The sequence below is a fragment of the Homo sapiens genome, chromosome 2 (assembly GCF_000001405.40).
Source record: "Homo sapiens chromosome 2, GRCh38.p14 Primary Assembly".
In the NCBI taxonomy this organism is placed as follows: Eukaryota; Metazoa; Chordata; class Mammalia; order Primates; family Hominidae; genus Homo; species Homo sapiens.
The window spans coordinates 60,632,366-60,654,001 of record NC_000002.12 but is presented as its reverse complement, the minus strand read 5'-3'; the positions used below and the strand labels follow the sequence as shown (position 1 = coordinate 60,654,001).

General features: G+C 44.8%; 1 pseudogene, besides 2 other annotated features; it reads right to left on the bottom strand.

Moving 5' to 3' along the window:
* Positions 11,414–11,463: a silencer, noted in NCBI's record as "silent region_11519". NCBI's record gives its function as "represses an Ori minimal core promoter by ATAC-STARR-seq in GM12878 lymphoblastoid cells {active_cell/tissue: GM12878}" and the evidence as "EXISTENCE:reporter gene assay evidence [ECO:0000049][PMID:35858748]".
* Positions 13,000–13,288, bottom strand: RN7SL361P (RNA, 7SL, cytoplasmic 361, pseudogene; annotated as a pseudogene).
* Positions 19,904–20,616: an enhancer, noted in NCBI's record as "OCT4-NANOG hESC enhancer chr2:60860521-60861233 (GRCh37/hg19 assembly coordinates)". NCBI's record gives its function as "activates a minimal SCP1, AML or CMV promoter by ChIP-STARR-seq in primed H9 embryonic stem cells {active_cell/tissue: H9 hESC(primed)}" and the evidence as "EXISTENCE:reporter gene assay evidence [ECO:0000049][PMID:30033119]".

Sequence of the window (21,636 nt, the reverse complement as noted above, 5' to 3'; positions counted from 1 at the left end):
CCTTTCTCCATCTTCTTCTCCTCATGTTGAGTTCTCTAAGGACTTATCCACAGTGGTCGCAGCTTTGTGCCTTGCAAAGAAAATTCTGTCCCTCTACACCTTTCAGGAAAACTACCAGCCCAAAAAGTTTAGGGAAAAAAATTCATTATCTTTAATAGGATTTCTTTACTAGCCCTGGCCAGGAGGGACCCGAGTTCCCAGGAAATCTAAATTAATAAGTACCCTATCATGGGGTGTGGAGAGGAGGAGGGTTGGGGGGCGGTGGGTAACCAAACTGAGGTCTAATTTCCATTTAAGCTTTGCAAGGAAGGGTGAGAGTTTTAAGCAGAAAATCTAAAAGATGGTCTAGCTAGGAAAAGGAATTGAAAGCATCCCTGAGAATCCCAGGACTGTTTGGAATCCATTTTGAGCGAAGTGGAAATATTTGGATGAGTGAAACGGCTGCTCTCTTTTAATTGGCCTCCGGTTGATCAGGGACTGCTATCTACGACCATGAGAGGGTTGTCAGGAAAATCAGCGTATAGAACATTCCACTAACAAATTCCTAATTTCATCTGTGCCAGCCACAAAACTTATTGTACTCATTTTGGCTCTCGAACGAAAGAGCAACTGGCGGGTACCTTTGGGGTCTCCGAAGAAGATTTAGAGAGGTTTGTTAGTCTATTAGGAAGCAGAGGGAGCGGCTCTTCCCTTCAGCTGTGCACTCTAGAGAAGTCTATTAGAAACTATCCATGTACAGCTCCACTCTCCTTTCTCTTTGATTCAATCACCCCAAGTCATTAGGCTGGTTGAACGCCACTTTAGACTGTACACCATAAATAATTAAAACGTAGAAACATGTGCGGTCACCTGATGCAGCCCCCACGGGAGGTGGCAACACAGAGGATGTCTGACTCTGTGCGGAGCTTCTTGCCGATGGCCGGGATTTTAAAACTGCCTCTTTAGTCCCAGCCCAGTCCTGTAAGCAACAGTCTCACATTTCACACCAGCACGATCCTGGCGTTTGTGGCGCCCGACGAACTCCACAGAGCTAATCTTGACATTAGAACCTGCCCGCCTAGGCCAGCTCCTCTTCCTGCTGTTATATTTCAAGACCATCCTCCCAAATCTTCAAGTCAACCAGCGTGGCAGATGGCATTCTCCAAAAAGGGCTGTGTTAATTTCCTAGGGCTGCTGAAACAAATTGCCATAAACTTGGTGACTTAGAATGACAGAAATGTATTTTCTTATTGTTCTGGGGGCCCCAACTCTGAAATCAAAGTGTTGGGGGGGGGGGGGTGATGCTCCCTCCAAAGGCACTATGGGAGGAGCCTTTCATGCCTCTTCCAGCTTCTGGTGACTTCTGGCTTTCCTTGGCACGTGGCTGCACCATTCCAGTCTCTGCCTCAGTCTTCACATGGCCTTCTTCCCTGTGTGTGTCTCTGTGTCTGCATGTCAAATCCTCTTTTTATGACACCAGTCATTGGATTTAGGGCATATCCTAATGCAGTATGACCTCATCTTAACTGAAATACATCTGCAAGACCCATTTTTCAAATAAGGTCACGTTCTGAGGTCCCCAGTAACATGAAGTGTGTGTGTGTGTGTGTGTGTGTGTGTGTGTGTGTATGTGTGTGTGTGTGTGTGTGTGGTGTCTGGAGTCCGTTCAACCCATTACATTACATACGTAGTCTTTCCTATCCCATGGGCTCTTCCAGAACCTTCCTGCTCTCCCATGAACAAGTGAAGTCGACGCCCCTTCTCCTTGAACTGGGTGGGCCTTGGCAACCACTTTGACTAACCGAGTGTGGTGGAGTGATGCTGTGTGACTCCTGAGGCCAGCTCATAAAAGACACACAGGTTCTGCCTGCCTCTTTTGCCACACTTTCCCTTGTGATGCAGCCACCATGCTGCGAGGAAACCCAGGCCCACAGACATGACCATGTGGAGAGAAACTGAGGGTCCCCTCCCTTTAGCCTTAGTTTAGTTCCTAGAGACAGCCAACACCAAGGTGCCAGCCAAGCCACTGAGCCATCTGGGAAGTGGACCCTCTCGCCTCAGTCAGTTGCCCCAGCTGGTGCTGCACGGAACACAGATGAGCCCTCCCTACTGAGCCCTAACCACATTGCATATGTATAAGCAAAATAGTGATTGTTGTTTTAAGCCACTAATAGTGATGTTGTAAGCCACTAGTGATTGGTGTTTTATGTAGCCTTAGACATTCCTAGAATACAGAGCCTAAAACCTTCAGAGCATTGTAACTCCTCTCTCCGCAGTCCCCTCTTTCTACATGTAACTAGTTAGTCCACAGTCTCCTTCTTTCTTATGGTCCCACCTAGCTGGGTACCTAATTATGTCACTCTGGGTTGTATCATTAGCATCTTTTTTTTCCTTTCTGCTATTAAATTTGCCATATCAGTTTCCATTTTATTAGTGTTCATCTGATATTGCTTTTTTTCATTTAATTTTTGACTGTTCTGTGTCATTTCTTCTTAAGTATGTCTCTTATAAGTAGCACAAAGTTGAATTTCAGTTTTGTTTTTCAGATGGTGTTTTGCTCTGTTGCCCATGCTGGAGTACAATGGCGTGATCTCTGCTCACTGCAGCCTTGATTTCCTGGGCTCAAGTGATCCTCTCGCCTCAACACCGCAAGGAGCTGGGACTATAGGCGCGAGGCACCACGCCCGGCTATTTTTTGTAGAGATGAGGTTTTGCCATGTTGTTCAGGCTGGTCTCAAACTTCTGAGCTCAAGTGATCTGCCCACCTTGGCTTCCCAAAGTGCTAGGATTACAGGCATGAGCCACTGAGCCCGGCCTATTGTTAGCATGTTAACTGGCCCCTAGACTTTGATTCCTCCCTTCCTCTATCCTACCAAAAGATCTCTCTAGCACACTTTGGTCCTGCCACTGTCCTGCTCAAAATTCATTGATGGCTCTCCATTGCTTAGAAGATTATTCCCATGTTCTTTAACTGACAGTCAAGACTTTAATCTGGCCTCGGTTCTGGCCTACATTATCTCCCATATCTTCTCCATAAAGATTCTATGCATCCAACAAACTAGGTTATTCACTGTTCTGAACATATCTTGAGCTGGATTTTCTGCTTTCTGATATTCCCTTGGTACCTTTTCAACATTTAATAATGTTTTTTGAGCACCTGTTCATGCCAGGCAATGTAGGAAACTGGAGAACACCGCCTCCCTTTCCTGTCTTCTCACTTCATTTAACTGAAATCCTGCCCATTTGCCAAAGCTCAGCTCCAAAACTCACTTCCTTCACAAAGCCTCCCCAGATATGTAGCCATTCTTTTTTCTGAAATCTCTGATATCTTCTCCTCTAAGCAAATCAAGTGACTTGCAGCTCTGTGGCCACTCCATGCTTTCCCAATCCTCCTGGCCCTCGTGCATGCTGGCTTTTCTTCCTGTACCCATTTCCAATGGCTAACTCTCACTAATCTTTATGCTTCAACTCAGGTACCATTTCCTTTTCGGAAGTTTTCTGTGACACACTTGGTCTGTCTTAGAAATCCCAATGGACGATTGATGCTAGGCCTAGAATGGATCCCAGGGCTATCTCTGTGGCCCTGGGAGGCATGGACTGGGTCTTTAATAAAATAAAGACCTTGTACCTAGACCACAGAGAGTGCCCCACCAATGTTTATTCAAAGACTGAAGGTTGAATACATGAAGAATGCACTAGAAAGATTTCAAAGGCCTTTAACATGGTAGATATGGGAAAAAGATTTGGAAAGGAGGCTTTGCTTACCTGTTAAAGGTTTGTGGTTGTATTTTGGGTTCCTTGAGTTGACTTCTGAGCTAAGCTCCAGGTAAAGAAAATTTGTACACCCTCTTATTGGTCCCCAAGCATACGTCGGTAATGAGGAAACTTTTTAACTATAAGACAACCAGTTTAGCATTTTGCTAGTTGTTCTTTATCCCCTGTGTAAAAGTATTATCTTGTCAACCAAACTGTAAACTTTACAAGCAAAGGGAGTGCATAGGCTATTTCTTTTTCTTTTCTATTCCATTCTTTCCTTTTTTCTCCCTGCCTCCCTCCCTTCCTTCCTTTCATTCTTCCTTCTTTCCTTCTTTTCTGCCTCCCTCCCTTTTTTCCTTCCTTCCCTGCTTCTTTTCTCCCTCCCTTTTTTCCTTCCTTCCTTCTTTCCTTCTTTCCTTCCTTCCTTCCTCCCTCCCTCCCTCCCTCCAACTCTCCCTTCCTCCCTCCCTCCCTTCCTCCCTTCTTGTGTATGTGTGTGTGATTCTGATGCACACTGAAGTTTGGAAACCACTGCTCTAAAGAATAGTAGGAAACCAATTTGGCAAACCCTTAAGAGATCCACTCTGGGAATAGGTGTTTTGTTTTGTTAAGTTTGGGTCTGCCCCCCATTCATTTTGCCTCAGATCAAACCTATACCAGTAGTTCTTATCCCTGGCTGGGGAGCTTTTATTTTTGACTTTTAGATATTGACAAATAAAAATTTTATCTACTTATTGTGTACAATATATTGTTTTGAAGTATGTATACACCATGGCATAGCTTAATTGAGCTAATTAACATATCCATTACCTCACATACTTATCATTTTTTTGTGGTGAGAACACTTAAAATCTACTGTCTTAGCAATTTTCAAGAATACAATACATTGCTATTAACTATAGTCACTATGCTGTACAATCGCATGCCCATTTCTCTTTATTCTTCCAAATCCTCTATTTTGTATTGGAATCATAATAACCCCTCAATATTTATTCAGCAGATTTTTGTGGGGAGACATAACTAACCCTCCAAAGTATTGTTGATTTCCTTTGAAAAATCACTGCTTTTGTGTATTCCAGTCTAGAAAGCTGTTTCTTTGCTTTGAATGGATAAAAAGCTCCTAGACTTGTTGGACTATTGGAAGAAGTGAATTCTAAAGAGAACTGCATTCTGGCAGGAATTCCCCATCTCACATTCTTTAACTTGTCTTTCCTTTTGGGGATAGGATTGTGAACCCTGAGCTTCTTGGGATGTCATTATGTATCCTACGGTTTAACCACCCAGGACTTCCTCCCTCACCCTGAATTGTCCCTAGGGACCATGAAGCCATTACTGTGGGAGAGAGGTAGGATCTTAGAAAAATCCAAGGTTTGAGCTATAGTTAGACCACCTCTCTCAGGCTGTAATATTAAATCCGTGACTCTTGAGAGCATTTGCTGGGGAAGTCCATCATCTTTTTATTTGTATTTCCTGGGTCTCATTCAATATTATGACTCTAGGGAAAAAAATACCATGACTAGTATTTGAGAGGCTGGCACCTATAGTATCTTGAGTTAATGTTACTTGCAGCTTTATCCAGGAACAATTCTGCCGTGAAATACTCAGCTGTAAAAGAAACGAGACTACTGAGAAGGATTCTTTTGAGTGTCTCTGGCATGCAGAGAGGCGATGGGGATCTTCTTGTGTACGTGTGGGAAAGTGAGGGGGGATGATAAATCATGTGCTACCTCTCCTTTAAGAGCACGTCCTTTTATTTCTGACACTTAAAAAGACACTGTCAAAAAGATGTTTTACTGATTTGACTTTCTGTGCAGGAGAACGTGCAACAGTTACCTAGTAAGTGGTTTTATAGGGAGTTTCACCCACACGTTATAATAAACTGAGCCCGAAGATAACATATCTTTTGTGCTTTTACAGTGCTTGGATGATAACTGTGAAAAATTATCTAGTGGAGGTTAGCAAACTGTACCTGTGGTCTTTTTCTCATGACCTCTGTATGATAAAGTTTACTATCTTGGAGCATGATGCATTGTCAAATAATAGGTTTGCTTGTCTGGCCAACAAGAAGTAATTGAGGAGTGTTATAGTTTTACAATCGTGTTTCAATGACTCTGCTGCTTTTGAGTTGTTAGACCTGAACAAAATGGGTCAATGTTGAAAGAATAAAGTTTTTTTTTCCCCTCTCTCCCCCTCCCTCATCTCTCACCTTCCTTCATTTCAGAGTCTTTACGGGGACTTTTTGAAAAGGCGGGCTGGGGTAGGGGCCTCGGCTCTGATGATTCTCTGTCTAGGCATCCCAGGCTTTCAATGTGGGGCTTGAAGTGGGACATTTGGTCTTAGCTTAATGACTGAGAGCAAAATCAGATTTGACGTACCTACCCACGGATATCCACTGAGCACTCTTATTCTTTCTGTCCTTGGGGAGAAAATGGGCTAACCAGCTTATTTTGGTTTAAAGGTTCTTTGAATTCCAGATCTACGTCTTTAAGGAACTATTTCCCCTGTACATTCCTAAGACTTGTTGGAAGCAGATCAAAGCTGAATGATCTGGGACAGGTAGCAAATTTGCTACATTCCATTTTCATTGGGGCAGGTCTCACCCAGCATTTTACAAAATATGCTCCATATAATACTATTTCTATGAGCTCTTTGTGATGAAGTGAGTTTGGGAAACATTACACATCTAATCTAAACCCTTATTTTGGTGCCACATGATGAACATTCCATATTAAAGGCCTGGAGAAGTCCAATAGTAGAGAAACATTGGACTCTGGCATTTCTCCCAATGACCACAGAACCCCAGCATCCTGAAGAGCTGGTGTGCTGCACAATGCATTTGTGAGGATTTTGAAAGTTGGAGGTTTTGGTGATATATAAATATAGCCATAGTTCCTTCCAAAAAGGGCCCATCTGGAGACCAATCACTGCTTAGCTGCAACACCGTGCAATATACACATGTACATACTTATCTTAGAAATAAATTTTAAATGGGGCTATTAAGATTAAAACTTGAGAACTTCCCCACTCAGAGAAAGAGTCATCTCATTGTTATAGGGGCCAAGAAACTTTTTAGGAAAATAAATAAGATAAATTACTAGGATTCGTTTATTTGTACAGGAATGCTTGGTGGGCTTGTTTGTGTCTGCTGCTGGTGGGATTACTAAGCAATGAAGAAGGAGGCTGCTGGCTCTGGGAGAGAATCTACTCTGAAGAACAAAAGTGTTAGGTGTGTCTAGCTAAATTCTGCAATAGGGCTCTGGAGGTCAAAAGGGAGTGATGGTTCTTCTCTGGCATGCTGGCTGCTACCTGTATGTGGTACCTCGTGGTGGCAGCCTCCCCACAGAAAGGAAGGCTGTGTCTATAAAGTTCATGGAGCCCTAACACTGCACTGGGGCCCCTCTAAGAGATACAAACAGACAAGAGGACAGTTGTCAGATAGCTCAGCATCCAGTGACAATGACAGGGCCCCATGGAGTAGTCTCAGTAGCCAAGCAGCGGGCAATGGTAGCAGCTTAGCTGGTGGCCTGGGGAGGCATGAAGAGGGCCCCTGAAGATGTGCAGGGGCAGCTGCCTGGCGTGTAGGAAGGAGACAGGATTAAACTGGGAGTGCTGTGGGTGCCACCTTCCCGTCCCACCAGGGGCCTGGGAATCTTGAAAGCAGGCCCCTCTCATGACAGTATTGAAATTTACCCACAGGGTGAAGTCCATGGACACCCTTCTCTTTACTCAAGTAATTGCACTCCAGACCTATCCAATCCAGCTGCTGCAGATGGATGAGACAAGTGCTGCAGGGTGTGCAGTCGGACCATCCTATGAGATCCCATAAGATGGTTGTATTAGTTATCTATTTCTGCATGACAAGTGAATTCAAACCTTAGTGGCTTAAAAGATAATAAGCATTTATTATCTCTTACAGTTGGTCAGAAATTCAGGAGCAGCTTAGTTGGGTGATTCTTTTATTTTGTAGTGTATTTTGTGAGTTTTTATTTTTATTTATTTATTTTTTATTTTTTTTTTAGACGGAGTCTCGCTCTGTTACCCAGGCTAGAGGGCAGTGGTGGGATCTTGGCTCACTGCAGCCTCTGCCTCCTGGGTTCAAGCAATTCTCCTGCCTCAGCCTCCCAAGCAGCTGGGGCTACAGGTGCACACCACCATGCGTGGTTAATTTTTGTATTTTAGTAGAGATAGGATTTCATGTTGGCCATGCTGGTTTTGAACTCCTGGCCTCAAGTCATCCACTGCCTTGGCCTCCCAAAGTGCTGGGATTACAGGCGTGAGCCACCGCACCTGGCTTTAGTGGGGCAATTCTGTCTCAGAGTCTCTTATGAGGTCAAAGTGAAGATGTGGTCAGGGCTGCATTCACCCAAAGGATAACTGGAGCTGGAGGATATACTTCCACGGTGGCACACTCACATGGCTGTGGGCAAAATCCTTAGCTCCTTCCTGGCTGTTGGCAGGAGGTGTTGGTTTCTTACCTTGTGGATCTCTCCATAGAGCTGCCTCAGTGTCTTTATGACATGGCACCTGGCTGTCCCCAGAGTGAGTGATCCGAGAAAAACAAAGAGGCCACAGTGCTTTTTATAAACCAGCCTTGGAAGTCAAACACATCATTTCGCTGTTTGTTAGAAGTTTATCACTGAGTCGAGCTCACATGTGAGGGGAAGGTAATGAAACTCCGCCTTTTGAAGAGAGAAGTGTTAAAGAAATTGTGGACATATTTGAAGACCACTACAGTGGTCATTCCCTTGTACTTAATCTCCTCAAGTGGTTAAAAGGTTAATGGGAGAGTCAGGGAGCCTATGAAAGAAAGACTTTATTTGGAGAAAGGTGAGGATAAATTTGCTGGCCTGCCCAGAGGAGAAATCTGAGTTATAGAAAATCTTTTTTATTTATTTTGAAGTCAGAAGATGGGCTCCAGATAGGACTGCTTGTTAACTTGGATGAAATTAAAAATAGCTTACACGTTAGGAAAGTAGGGGGATGATTAGTTCTCAGGATATATTAAATGTCCTCACACGAGAGAGAGTCAGCCATTGGGAAGGGCTGCTTTGGCAAACATATGCTGTGTCAAACTCCGCCAGCAGATGCAGAATCTGCTGCTAAAGTTAGCTCCCTGAGAACAGAGCTGGATGGGCTGCCATGACAGATGTCTCTGAAACCAGCACTGAGACAAATATAATTCTTACCACTGGAAAGCAAGGCCCCACGCAAGAGGCTTCTCGCCCTGTTGGAGGGGTTAAAGGGAGGTGTGAAGGCAGATTGAGGACCCCAAATGCTGACTCTTCTGTGATTCTTAAGAATAACGTCTGGTTTTGAAGCCACAAGGTATCGTGGTATTTTGCATTTCTAAATTTGGAAATCCCTCATAAGGTGAATGCTTGTTACTTTCAGAGGAACCCATGCTATGTAAAATCCAGGGCCTGATTGGAAGGCTTTTAAAACATGTATTTTGAGACTTATATTCTGAAATGTTAGAGGCAGAGGAGATGAGATAAGTGTTCAAAATGCCTAAAACAGTAGGAGAGGAGTCAGAAAACTACAATAATGAAAAATGATTTAAATTATTTCTTTAGCACAAAAACCAAATGCTTTTCCCCAAACAAGAAGGAGACCCAGTTTCATGGATGATGACATACAGATGATGTCCACGTGCCAAGCAATTCACTACACGACAAAGCAGGATTTCCCCAAGTGGCCCTCACAGAATTCTGTCCATGGGGATGCCTCACAAAAGAAGAATTCTATGATAAATAAATTTGGGGAGTGATGTGTTGCAGTTCCCCTCTTACAGAGTCATGGAATGCATCAGCATTTGAATGGCTCTGAGAAGCCCTTACATGAAGAAGCCTGTTTAATTTTGTTTAGCTCCTTAGTTTCCAAACCTATGACCATGGACCTTCTAAGTTCTATTGATCTCCAGCTCCCATTTCTATCCCTTTAGAATGTCAGCTTCACAAGGGCAGGTCTTTGTCTGTTTCATCTGTAATTATAGCTCCACAGCCCGGAACAGTGCCTGAAACCAGAGGCGAAAGTGCTATGAAGTGATCGAACTTAAGCTTTGGGGGCCCCTCAGTTACACAGGCCCCTTCCAAGGCCCTGTGCCTAATTTCTTATCCACAAATTGTGTTCTTTTCCTTAAAAAGGACTGTCAGAATTTTTATAAGCTTCTGACCTCACAAAACCTGGATCCACCCCTGTCTGGGACACACTAGGTGCTCAACAAATCATTATTGGATAAACGAATGAACAAATGGATACTATGAAACTATTAGGCGGGAGCAACAGTGACCGTGGTCACAAAAGTAACGGCAAAAACCGTAATTACTTTTGCACCAAGCAAACAGTGTTCCTTGAAATACACATTGGGAAACTCCATCCTACAGACAGAAGACTCCAGACAGGGGGGTGCAATGGTTAATGTCCACAGCAGATTCGGGAGGTATGAGTGCAAAATAAAATCTCATCTGGGAAAGAAAATAACTGCAAGATGTTGGAGCTGGAAGTAAAGTCCGGTTGATTTATGATTGACTATTTGCGTTTCACAGTGTGTTGTGCTCTCACCAGTTAGGATTTATCTGATAGAATGTGAGGGAATTTCATTATGAGGGTTTAGAGGACTAACAAAAATCACAACGCAATATTGAATCATCTCACCTGGTTGCAGAGTTTCCTGAGAAGAAAAGTCTGGTGTCCCTGAACAGAGATCCTCAGCAGCTCCTGGGGTTGGCTGTCACTCTGCCAGCCTGGAATGAGGTCCCTCTTAGGTGTGGCAGATTGGATTCTGACAGTGTAGGGTGACGAACAGAGAGGACCATAAAGCCCAGGGGCTGTTCGGTTCTGACCCCTCCCACCACTGTTCCCCCTTTCAATTCTAAATTCGGGTTTGACCCGTACATAATGAGGCAGATTTTTAATAGTCCCGCCAGCCCTCACACATCCAGATCAACATTGTCTTTTAATGACAGTGCTTTGGGGAGCAGCATGTGGGCTCCAATACAGCTGTTACTAATAAAAATGTTTGTGGCCCTCTTTTGGAATTGCTTTTTGTGTCAATTATGAGGCGCATGAGACAGATCCATCCCCTTGGCCATATGTTGTGTTTGACCAAAAATGGTCTTACCCAGTTTATCCTGCAAAATGGCCCAGCATATTCAGCGAGCTTGATTTTGGAATCATTTGAAGGTTTTTATCCAAACTCAAATCCACTGTCAAAAGACAAAAATTTGCCAGTATTGAGAATGCTCCAAAATATATGCTACATGATCTGAAAGCAGCTTCCCCCGAGGGGACCAAAACCATTCTGATCAAGGGCAATATCTCTGCAGAGCGCACAGAGGGTTCTGGGAGAGTTGCCTACAAGGGGATGGCCTGTGCTGTCATTTGTCAAGTTCTGATAGAGTTTTGAAATCTCCGATTCTGAGTCCCGGCTACTCATCAGAATCACCTGCAGAGCTTTAAAAACTCTTCATGCTCGGACCTTTCCCCTAGACATTCAGATTCAACTGGCTTAGGGTGGAGCCCAGGCATTGATGTGTGTGTGTGTGTGTGTGTGTGTGTGTGATTTTAATGTGCAGCCAAGATTAACCTCTATGCTAAACAATCAATCTTGTTAACTTTAGTCACAATTGTTCCTGTTTAATTTTTTTTGTTAAGATAAAAATCTGTTGTGACTAGGCCAAGAGGCACCGTCGAAGGTTAATCAAACACAGATGGGGGAAATGTTTTGGGGGCTGAATTGTCATCTGCGTAAGCACACACTGTGTGACATGACCACTAGGGGGCAGACTCTAACACTTATTAATAAGTGTTCAAAGAAATTTGCTTTAAAAAAAAATTCCAGGAAATAAAAGGAAAACTGGTTGGGGGCTTTGTTTGTAATCATATCACCCTTTCAAGTGAATCATTTTACTAAGTCTTCCAAATGCAATGATTTCTCTCTCTCTCTCTTTTTTTTTTTTCAAACAGATATCACTCTGTCACCCAAGCTGGAGTGCCTGGTGTCATCATGGTTCACTGCAGCCTTGACCTCCTGGGCTCAATCGATCTTCCCACCATGCCTGGCTAATTTTGTATTTTTGATAGAGATGAGGTTTCGCCAGGTTGCCCAGGCTGGTTTCAAACTCCTGGGCTCAAGAGATTTGCCTGCCTCTGCCTCCCACTGCACCTGGCCCATGATTTCCTCAAAGAGGCCAGCAATGGAACTGCAGTGCTAACTATAGCAGAGGGGGTGGTAGAGGAAGAAAAGTTGCTGATGTGTTTTGAGCATTGTGATGTGTTAGGGACTGTGTTGTGTGAATTGCATCCATTGGTCCATTACCTCATTTAATCCTGCAATAACCCTATGAAATGGCACTATCACTTCCTTTTTATAGGTGAGGAAACAGGCCCAGTGAGGCAAAGTCCCTTACACAGCATCACACGGCTAGTAACTATTAACAGTAGATCAGTTTCAAATCCAGGGCTTTCTGATTTCTAAGTTCATGCTCTTTCTTTATGCACACAACCATTCTGTGGAAGGGTGGTGCTTTGGTGTGTACATTTTCATTTTGGTTTTTGTCATCACAGGTCACATGGATTAAAGTGAGTGGTTTCATGCTATTCTTATCATTCTTATAAGTGATATGCATCTCAATTGCAGATGTACCTCTATAGATGTGGAGGGTCGGATTCTGTGCTCAAATCCCAGCTGTGAGGTGTAGGGAAAGAGCTCTGGGCTATAAATCTATGTGGAAATGGTCCATTTGCTGCCTTATGTCCCCTGGGAGGGTAGGCCCTGTCTGTCTTGCTGATCTAGTGCTAGGCACATCACAGATACTCAAAAATGCTTGTCAAATACCCTAGTTGAAGAATGAATGCATGCATGCATACTTGAAAGTCTTGAGGTCTAAATTACATTCTGGATCTCAGAGTTACTAGCTCTATAATCTTGTCTAAGTTCTGTCTCTTCTCTGGATGCAGCATCCTTTTCAGTAAGTTGAAGTGATGGTTCTAGATGCTATCTGAGGTGTCTTTCAGATCCAACACCTCTAGAACTCAGCTTTTACCTCTGGTTGGATGGATGAACATGAGCAGGGACTTTTAGGATCAGCTCTGGTGCTAGAGATCTAGGAACAGAAGGAAATGGTGGGAGAGACCCTCAGAGCCTGATGTGGCTCTTCAGGAGCACCCTACACTGCTGCTGATGGCATGGAGGCTGAAAATGAGGAACAGGAGGACACCAGAGAGGAATCAGCAAAGCATACCCACAACTTTATTTATTTAAATAGAGATGGGATCTCATATGTTGCCCAGGCTGGAGTGCAGTGGCTACTCACCAGTGTGATCCCAGTATTGATCTGCATGAGAGTTTTGACCTGCTCTGTTTCCAACCTGGGCTGGTTCACTTCTCGTTAGGCAGCCTGGTGGTCCCCTGCTCCTGGAAGGTCGCAATGTTGGTGCCGAACTTAGTGTGGCTACCCAATTGACATACCGCACTCCAGCCCAGAACTCCTGGACTCAAGCGATTCTCCCGCCTCAGCCTTCCAAGTAGCTGGGACCAAAGGTGCACACCACCATGTCTGACATTGCTCACAAATTTAAATCCTTGCTATTTTATCTTTCAAAGTAAAAATAGAGGGTGGGGCCCTGGAGGGTGAACTGTCTATGTGAATTAAATATCATTATTGGCCAGGCGCGTGGCTCACATCTGTAATCCCAGCACTTTGGGAGGCTGAGGAGGGCAGATCGCTTGAGGTCAGGAGCTTGAGACCAGCCTGCCGACATGGTGAAACCCCGTCTCTACTAAAAATACAAAAATTAGCCAGGCATGGTTGCGCACAGCTGTAATCCCAGCTACTCAGGAGGCTGAGGCAGGAGAATCACTTGAATCCAGGAGGCGGAGGTTGCGGTGAGCTGAGATTGTGCCACCGCACTCCAGCCTGGGCAACAAAGGGAGACGCTATCTCTAAATAAATAAATAAAATTATTGAATCTCACCATGATCTGAAGGAGAGGTGATTTGTCTCATTCTTTGCTTTACATTTTAAGACATGGCGAGGGAGCCTCAATTTCTCCCATCTTTGGCTTCCCTGATCTTAAAACTGAGACATCTACATGGGACTGTCAGCAAGGTGGAGCCTGGAAGGAGGGAGAGGGAGGGCATTGTTTATTGTCACTGGTTTAAAATAACTAATTCCCCAAGTTCTGTAGACATTCCTCAGCCTTCAGAAAGCTGGTTTCAGCAGAGCATGCGACACATACTGAGCCTTCATCACCCTCAAAAAGTCTGTGCAAATACACGCTGATCACCAATGGAGACTTTTGGAAGATTAATTTTAGTTCTTATGGACTTTCTGATTTGTCTTCAGGCATACTAAGAATAACTTTGCTCCTGGTCCTGTTAATGAGCATAATCACGAAAGCACGCGGAGCATGGCTTTGGGTCATCAAAGGACGAACCTCCCAGAGAGATCCTCTCAAATCCAAGTTGAATATAATTGAGAAGACATACTGGTCATTTTTTTTCACCCATGGAGGAGGAGCTTCATAATTCAAGACCAGCTTCCCGAATTCAGTCCTCATTGCTGCCACAACTAACTCAACTTTCATTCATTGAAAATGTAATAACATTAGTTAAAAGTTATTGGTTGCTAACAATGTGTGAAGCATGTTCTAAGCATTTTCCAGCTATTAATTAATTTAATCACCACAATCAATTTCTAAGACAGGTACTTTTATTGTTCCCATTTTATGAATGAGGAAACTAGGGAGAAGAGAGGTCAACTAACTTACCCAAGCGTGCACAGTAAGTGGTGGAGCCACTGGCTGCAGGGTTTGTTCTTTAAACCGTTACCTTAAAGCCTCTTCCAAAAAAAAAAAACAAGTACCAGGTGCGGTGGCTTATATCTGTAATCCCAGCACTTTGGGAGGCCGAGGTGGGTGGATCACCTGCGGTCAGGAGTTCGAGACCAGCCTGACCAACATGGTGAAATGCTGTCTCTACTTGGGAGGCTGAGGCAGGAGAACTGGGAGGCGGAGGTTGCAGTGAGCCGAGATCCCGCCACTGCCCTCCAGCCTGGGTAATAGAGCGAGACTCCGTCTCAAAACAACAAAACAAAACAAAAAACAAGTACCAAGCACTGTTGTACAATGGGACAGGACCATGTCCAGAAAGTGGGGGTCTCAGAGAGTTAGGCCAAACAGGCTGGAGCTTAGATGAGCTTCCCACACCTGCTGGGGACTAGAGAACAAACCAGGGGTGGAAACAGAAGCCCAACCTTGTGGACTAGGTGTAGGAGATGGGAGACGAGGGTCGGGGGCACAGCTCTGCAGGCATGCAGGTCCTCAGAGGCTTTCTCCAGAAACACGACATGACTACCCTGGGCCCTGCAACTCCCACCCCCGCTGCCCACCGTGGTCTCATTGACTCAGGGCTTAGGGTAGAGCCCATGAGGAGAGGGCAATTGTAAGGTGAGCTGGCCATGCTGGGGTAGGCAGGGACAGTTTTCTGGAGTGTATTTGCCAATGAGAAATTACAGTCTGCTTGGAGTTCCTGCCTTCTTGACCCTCTGGAAGCCATGCCTCTCTCCCACTGCTGGGAGATTTTGAGTAGGAGGAAAGATCACCACCACGTCTTTCTCTGCAGCTCCATATTAGGGGCAGAAGATTCCAGAAAGTTAGGGTCCCCAGGAGCCGTCGATGCTGGGTTGGCTGGGTATTCCACTTGCCCTCCAGATCTCTGTCTGCCTTCTCTGCTTGCTCTGTGCCCTGGGAGGCCAACCTCTGCAGAGTGCATCATGCAGCTCCTTCGTGCTCTGGGTTGGCCAAGAGGAGGCACCAGCAGGAGGTTGAGATGGGTGAGAAAGAGCCTGGGCCTGGCAGGGGCTATGTCCTTCCGTGACTTTAGCTCCTGCTGGGCGGCCCCTCCTCATGCAGGGACTCCAGATGTCACTGGCTTCCAGCAATACAATTTCTCCCCTGGCCCCCTCAGCCTGGGGGATGAAAAAAACTGTGGCCCCCTCTTGCTGGTCTCTGGGACCCACACACCTTGCAGGAGTTCACTTAACCTTGACCATGCCTCTGTAAGTCATCTGCAAGTATTAGGTTGGTGCAAAAGTAATTGCGCCAACCGAATAGTTCACTAAACTCTTCAGTCAGATGCTTCTGCATGGGTTGTGATTCCTGCCAGGTCCCTGCCTGACATTGCCATCCTCACCCCCTGTCCCCTAGGCTGTCTCCCCACCAGGTCTCACTCTGACCTGCTATAGCTGCTTGGCCTGTTCCAGGGACTCTGCCACACGCTTGTTCTGGAACTTCTCTCCTCTGTCCTGCCACACACTTCAGTTTGTCCCTCTTCTCCGCGCTGCCTCTGCTCTGGGCCACACACTTTACTGGCATTCTGCTCTGAAGTTTTTGTGCTGGTTCCCCACTCTGTTATAGCCCCTTATAACCAGTCACATGTACCTGCAAGGCTCCTGTGATGTGCCTGGCACTATGCTAAATGTGTTCATGCGTGGTATCTCATTCCATTCTCATAATTGTCTGATGAAGTAAGTACTATACTAAGGGATGAAAAAAATAAGCTTCTGTTGTGTTATGGTTTGAGTTTGTCCCCACCAAAAATCATGTTGACGTTTGATCCCTGAGGTGGTGGTGTTGGGAGGTGGGGCCTAGTGGGAGGTGTTTGGATTGTGGGGACGGATCCCTCACGAATGGCTTGGAGCTGTTCTCGCTCTTTGGAGGCTGGACTAGTTCTGGAGGGAATGTTCCCACGAGAGTGGGTTGTTATAAAGCCAGTGCACCTCTCGGGTTTTGCCTCTTCCCATGAGCCCACTTCCCCCACCACCTTTTGTCATATTGTGGTGCAGCATGAAAGCCCTCACCAGAAGCCAAGCCATGCTGGTGCTATGCTTCTTGTACTTCCCGGCCTGCAGAACCATGAGCTACATAAACCTCTTTTCTTTATGAATCACCTAGCCTCATGTATTGTTATAGTAACACAAAATGGACAAAGACATGTTCCTTCTGCCTAACCAGCATAACTCTCCCCGTTCTTCTAATAGCATCCTCAGTTTCCTTTGGAGAACCACTCTCGTCCCCCCTTGTGATTAAGGTAGGCCTGCCCCACCCAGCTCCAGGCCAGTCAGAGACACCATGATTGGCTCAAAGATGTATAAATCACCTCTGCTGGACCAGAGTTGACTTTGGGTCTTTGGTCGGGATAATTAGAAAGGGGCTCTCCTTCTTTTGGAGTTGCTAAGTAAGGAGATGATAAGCTCTGCTGGTGGGCTTGCTAACATTTGAAAAGAGAACCTGCCTGGGAATGATGCCAGTCCCAGAGAGAAGCAGAGTCCAAGACTGAGACTGAGCCATGTGGTTGGATTCAGACATGCCTAAAGCTGGACAACCTCTAAAACTTCTGGGTCGGGGGACAAGTAAATTCCCTTTTTAATGTAAGCTAATTTGAATTGGCCTCTATCACTTGCAACCAGAAGAGTTTTGGATAATGTAGCAGTTCAGTAACTTGCTTGATGTCATGTATTTCGTGACTGGTGGAGCTGGGAGTTAAACCCAAGTTTGCCCAAGGAACCCGAGCTAAGTCCTCCAAAGGCCGCTGAGTATACCAATGGCTGTGAGAGCTGCACATGCTCAGTATTCCTCCCTGGTGGTTTTCATTCGGCCTTGAAATAGGGTGAATGAAATAGACTGCTTCTTGCCTGGTTGTGATCTTGCCTCCAGGTTGTAAAATCATTACCATGTCCATTTCTAGTGACTTCACTGGGAGTTCCACAGTCTTCCTCAAAGGAACTTGAGTTCTGTGGTAAGTAGTTTCTTACCATACATTTCCTCCTCTTCCTTAGTAATAGAACCCTTGATGTTTTGCTAGTTACATGGCTATCCAGAATAAAGACCATATTTATTCTCAGTCTCCCTTGCAGTGTGGTGTGGCCATCTCATAAATTCTAACCAATAGGTTGCAAGCATAAGAAGTGTGTGTAACTCCAAGGAAGTGTCCTTAAAGAGAAAAGTATGCACGCATTCCAGAAATTACTTTTTTTATGTTGGCTGGAAGACAGATGATGGCTGGACTTGAGCAGCCATGTTGGACCATGAGATAGAAGCTGTGTATTAAGAATAATGGAGCAACAAGATAGAAGGAGGGTGAGTCTCTTTTATCTTGATCACTAGTTACCATATAAACCCTAAACGGTCTACATTTATATTGGGAAAAATAACCTTCTCTTTCATCTATGCTACTGTTTTGGTGTTGCTGTTATTGTTGTCACTGGCAGCTGAGTCTAATCCAAACTAATACAGATCCTTTCTATAAATCAGGTCCCAGGGAAGGGCAGGAGCCTTTCCTGGTTTTGGAAGCTGATCAGCAGATGGGTTCTGAATAGGATCTGGGGGCTTATGAATATCAGAGTGATGACCAAAGAAGGGTTTATGTGATGCTAAAGATTTGTAAGACCTATTCCAGGGAGCCTGAGGGGATTTGTATTCTTTTTCTTCAATGTTACAAACCCCAGGCTCTGGATCCAGCTCTGGCGTAGACTGATGTTTTAGTCTTGATTTGCAAGGGTGTGACCCAGAGACACCTCAGGACATCTCGGGGGGAGAGTCTGACCTTGCTCAGGATATGTTCTCTTCCTTCTCTGTAACGCCCACTCACCTGCAGGCTCTCCCCCAAATCTTGTTTCCTCCAGGAAGCCTCCCCTGATGTCAGGTATCATGTCTTTCTCCGCTCACTAAAGATCCTTAATATCCACTCGTTTACTTTCCTGTTCTCAGCTGGGTATTGTAGGAGCATTGACTTTGGAATCAGGAGATGTGGCTTGACTTTTAGCTAGCTATAAGACTTGGACCAAGTAACTGAAGCTCTCTGGTCTTCAGGTTTTTTGTAATGAGGGAATGATAGCACTTGCTTCAACTAGTTAGTGAGAGAATTAAATTAGATCAGATATGTGTAATTGCTTTATTGATGATGAAGTGTGATAAAATTAAACATATTATGATTACTAGTATCACAGCTCTAGTCCCCAAGGGATGTGCTTCTCTTTCAGCTTTCATGCAAATACTGTCTGATAAGCCCTACCTAATACTCAATTACTTATTACTGTATATTGTCCTCTAATGGTTTTGCATGTCAAGTTTTATTCTTCTGAGTCGACTGGCAGGATCTTATTTTATTGCCTTCAAGCTCCTAGAACAGGTCTGGGCACACAGAAAGCATTTTAGGTACAAAAGGGGGTATAGATTGGGTCAGAGTTACTACCTAACAAAAGGTAATTTGTTGGTAAACGTACAGTTGTCTTGGGTCTAGCCCTTTGCCATGTCATTGTAGCTGATTGGACTTGGGGAGGCCGACCCACATCAATCAAGCTCACAGAAGACTGCTGCATACATAGCAGCCTGATGTCAGCTTATTGTTTAGAGTGGGGAACTGCTTTCTGATCACTGAAATGTTCATACTTCCTGCCTAGCCCCTTCTGGGTACCTGCATGATTGGGAAGCCAGGTTTGTCTAGGGAAGATTGGTTGGTGAGCCTGGAACTCTGGTGTGGATAAGTGGACTCTTAGGAAAAGGGTTCAATCTTGCCTACCATGTGACTTCGTGAGTCATTCCTACTCAACAACAAAGTCCATTTCTCCAGGGAGTAGGAGGTTCACAATCCCCTGACTTCAACACCTCCTCCCCTTGAACACCAATGACTAAACAGGGTCAGCTTCCCACTCCTTAGAGTTTCCCTTCTATGTTCCAGACTTTCTCCTAACAGTGTACTACATAATTGATTTTGTGTCTGCTTACTCAATTATGATCACATCCAGTTCTGCTTCTCCAAGATTATACTCTGATTACTTCAATCGGTTCAACTGATGTTTGCTTCTGTCTATCTATCTATCTATCTATCTATCTATTCTATCATTTATCAATCAATATCTATTACTTAGAGGTAATTTGAAATTCACAGTATTCATCCCAGTATGCTGAAGTCCTGGCTTATGTGTGGTTTACTTGCTGTCCTTGTGGATCTGTATGGCTTTCTGAGGATGCGAGGGAGGATCGCGGTTTAGGGGCTGCCATTATCAATTGGGGTTTGAAGCTCCTAAACTTCCCAGTCTCTTGGCTTTCTCCTACAAAAGGGTAATCATATAAGTGTGTCATTTTTCATTTTTAAAAACTGGTTTAACTCTTACAGAGTAACCTGGATTTTAAATTCTTGAGGACCCTTTCCTGTTGTCCTTCCTGGAATCAGAGATTCTGGGACTACCTGTGCATGGAATAAGTGAATAATGTGAGTGGGGTTGACTGCCGGACCCCGTCCTGCATCTTCTGGCCTTACCGGCAGGGACTGACTTGTTGATTTTTATTGCCACTTGTTTTCAGCCCACTTGAAATGAATCATCTGAAAATGCACCGTGGCTCTATCACCAGGCCCTAAGCCATAATCCAATGCAGTTAAAAGGCACTTTCTCTCCTGCTGAGAAATTAACACCTTCTCCTTTGTCCCAACTTTCTGGGATCATTTCCAATAGGTCCTGGCTGGGAGTTAATTAAATCTCTGTTGACACATACTCAATTTCAAGTGGCTTTGCACATACAGGAAACCTGTTGAGATTTTCCATTTTGGGTCCAAAACCGCTGATCCATCTCTTTACCCCAGTTTTTAGGGTAAGTTTTCCACTCGCCAGGAGACGACGGAATTTAAAGTGGAAAATTTATGGGATTCCCCGCTCTTTGAAAATCACAGTCTGCCACTTTCCCATAAAGCTTTCTAAATTTTAAAACCTGTCTTCTGCATAAAACTTCATATTTTCTGTTAAAACAACTGGATTTGTGATTACAGAATGCTCTCAGAGGCACAGCAGAAGCAAATAACAAGTAGGGTCAGAATTCTGAATCAGCAGCAGCTGTTTCAAGAACACAGTGCTCAAAAACAGAGTCAGAAGATCTAAATGTAGGTCAAGTAATTTTTAATTCCAATTGGAGGATATTGCATATGCATAGCCAGGAGCTTCTTTTTTTCTTTCCATCAAGAATTACATATTTGGAGATTTGGGTGGCTTACAGGAAAGTTATTAGCAGCAACATCTAGGGTCTTCTAGGTTCACCTCAAGAGGCACATGTCAGCCTCTTCTCTCTGTCTCTCTGTTAATGACCACCCTTCATCCACTCCCCCAACCTACCCCTTTCCACACCCAAATACGTGCATGCACGCACATGATATATGCTTACACATGTGTTGCTGTGTGCTTATTTTAGCACTGTTCTTTATTTTTAATTTTTATTTTTTTTTGAGACAGAGTCATGCTCTGTTGCCCCTAGAGTGCAGTGGTGTGATCGTGGCTCACTGCAGCAACCTCTGCCTCCTGGGTTCAAGTGATCTCATGCCTTAGCCTCCAGAGTAGCTGGGACTACAGGCATGTGGCCCCCATACCCGGCTAACTTTTGTATTTTTAGTAGAGATGGGGTTTTACCATGTTGGTCAGGCTGGTCTTGAACTCGTGGCTTCAAGAGATCCACCTGCCTTGGCCTCCCAAAGTGCTAGGACTACAGGCATGGGCTGCCGTTCTTGAAAGCCTGTGCAGTCGGGCCCAGTGGCTTACACCTGCAATTCCAGCATGTTGGGAGGCTGAGGCTGGAGGATTGCTTGAGTCCAGGAGTTGGAGACCAGCCTGGGCAACAGGGTGAGACCCCGTCTTTATAAATAATAAATACGGCTGGGTGCAGTGGCTCACGCCTGTAGACCCAGCACTTTAGGAGACCGAGGTGAGCGGATCACCTGAGGTCAGGAGTTTGAGACCAGCCTGGCTAGCATGGTGAAACCCTGTCTCTACTAAAAATACAAAAATTAGCTGGGTGTGGTGGCAGGAGCCTGTAATCCCAGCTACTTGGTAGACTGAGGGAGGAGAATTCCTTGAA